Genomic DNA, 2,105 nt, shown 5'->3' with positions numbered 1-2,105 from the left:
CAATGTGTTCAGGCAACCTGAAATCTTGAAGCCTTTCCTTTGTTTTGAGAAGTCTTGTCTTTTTTTTTTTTTTTTTTTTTTTTTTTTTTTGCAGTTGCAAGATTTAATAGAGTGAAGTCTTGTCTTTTTAACTCTTTATGCCTCTTTCTTCAAGAGGTGAAATATTAAGTATTTAACTTTTTGGCCTTTCTTGCTGTTATGTTTAATTTTAGATGTCAACTTGACTGGATTAAAAAATACCTAGAAATTTGTTAAAGCATTATATTTGGGGTATGTGTCAGAAGAGATTATCCTGTGAGTTGAGTGAACTAGGTGAGAAACGTCTGCCCTCTACGTAGACAGGTACCATCCAATCTTCTGAGTGCCCTGAGACAACAAACACAGAGAAAGGATAAATGTTTTGATCCATCTGCTGAAGCTGTGATATACCCTTTCTCTTTTCCTTGGACAACAACTCCAGGCTCCGCAGCCCTTGGACCCCAGGACTTGTACCAGCATTGCCCTGAGTTCTCAGGCCTGTGATCTTGGACTGGGAGTTATACCATTGGCTTTCCTAGTTCTGAGGCCTTCTGACTTTGACTGAGCCAGCATCTCTAGCTTGCAGCTATCATGGGACTTCTTGGTCTCCACAATTGTGTGAGCCAATTTCCCAATTAAATCCTCTTTCATCATTCTCTCTCTTTCTCTGTCTCTCCCTGTCACCTATCTCTTATTAGTCCTGTTTCTTTGGAAAGCCCTTACTAACACGCTTAGACATAGGGTACGGAAGTATGACTCAGGCTTCAACAATCAGACACAGTCATTTGAAATTTTGATTCAAGAGATAGAGGCCCGGGGAGGGGTCATTGGCCTTTTCTCTTTAGCAGTCATAATGATGCTGCAAAGTTACGTTCCTGGCTCAGAAATGATGTGGTACATATTTAGTGCTCAATAGCTGCAGTGATTCTCTCATGCCACCAGTTCTGAAGATAATTTTGGCTGCTATTTCTGTATGTATAGCCTGGAGCCTGATTCTTTAATCCTTCCAACAATTTTTAAAAATTTATTTTAATAAGCTCATTTTCTCATTAATTATTCAGCATACATCCCTGTTACTTTTAATTTAAAACCCTGAATGATACAGTTAGGGTGGCTGAAGCATAATGAGAAAGGAGACAAGTTATAGGAGATTGTGGTAGGCAAAATAATAGCTCTAGAAAGTTATCTACATCCTAAACCCCCAAAACTGCAAAGATAATTACCTTACATGGCAAAAGTGACATTGAAGATGTGATTAAGTTAAGGATGTCGAGATGTGGAGATGATCAGAGACTATCTAGATAAGCACAATGTAATGACAATGGTCCTTATAAGAGGGAGGAAAGAAGGTTAGAGTCCAATAAGAAGATGTGATGATGGAAGCAGGGGTCAGAGTGATGTGGGGTTATAAACCAAGATGTTTATGGAGCCTCTAGAAGCTGGAGAAGGCAAAGATTTGATCCTTTTTTGTAGTCTCCAGAAGAAATACAGCCTTGCCAACTTACCTTAGACTTCTGACTTCCATAACTGGAAGACAATACATTTGTGTTGTTTTAAGTCACCAAGTTCGTGGTAATTTATACAGCAAAAATTGGAAACTACTTCAGAGACATTGGAGAAGAAAGCACAGGGTTTAAATCTATCACTGAATATTTAGAGTGAACTGTAGTCTAAGTCCTGGGCTGAGGTTATAAAAGGAAATTAAAATTAAATCAGGCTGGATGATTGACTTGGGACTGCTAAAGCAGACACATAAATACACTAAACAACTCGTGTACATTGTCTATACCACTAGTAATGTAAGATAGCAACTGAAAAAAAATCCTATTTAGCTATGTGCTGTTCTAACCCTATTTAGAGTACTATGGCTCTTTCTAAGAACCACAGCACTAGAAGAGTATCGCCAAACTAGTACATTCAGAATAAGCCAAAGAAGGAGATAAAGTATTTAGAAATCATTTCATGAGAAATAGTTGGAGAAAGTGGGAATGGTTAGCAAATACTTATTTTCATATATTTAAAACTGTGTTATGTGAAAGAGTAGTCACTGTTTACATGGAGATAATACTGCCTAATGTATAGAGTTC

At 37.8% G+C, this 2,105-nt stretch overlaps 1 annotated feature.

Annotated features, from left to right (window-relative positions):
- Positions 228-1,427: an enhancer, noted in NCBI's record as "P300/CBP strongly-dependent group 1 enhancer chrX:143882879-143884078 (GRCh37/hg19 assembly coordinates)". NCBI's record gives its function as "activates an origin of replication core promoter dependent on BRD2, BRD4, P300/CBP, MED14 and CDK7 cofactors, with strong dependence on P300/CBP, by STARR-seq in HCT116 cells {active_cell/tissue: HCT116}" and the evidence as "EXISTENCE:reporter gene assay evidence [ECO:0000049][PMID:35650434]".

The sequence above is a fragment of the Homo sapiens genome, chromosome X (assembly GCF_000001405.40).
Source record: "Homo sapiens chromosome X, GRCh38.p14 Primary Assembly".
Taxonomy (NCBI): Eukaryota; Metazoa; Chordata; class Mammalia; order Primates; family Hominidae; genus Homo; species Homo sapiens.
Note: the sequence above shows the minus strand (reverse complement) of the source record. Positions and strands in the feature narration are given on the sequence as shown.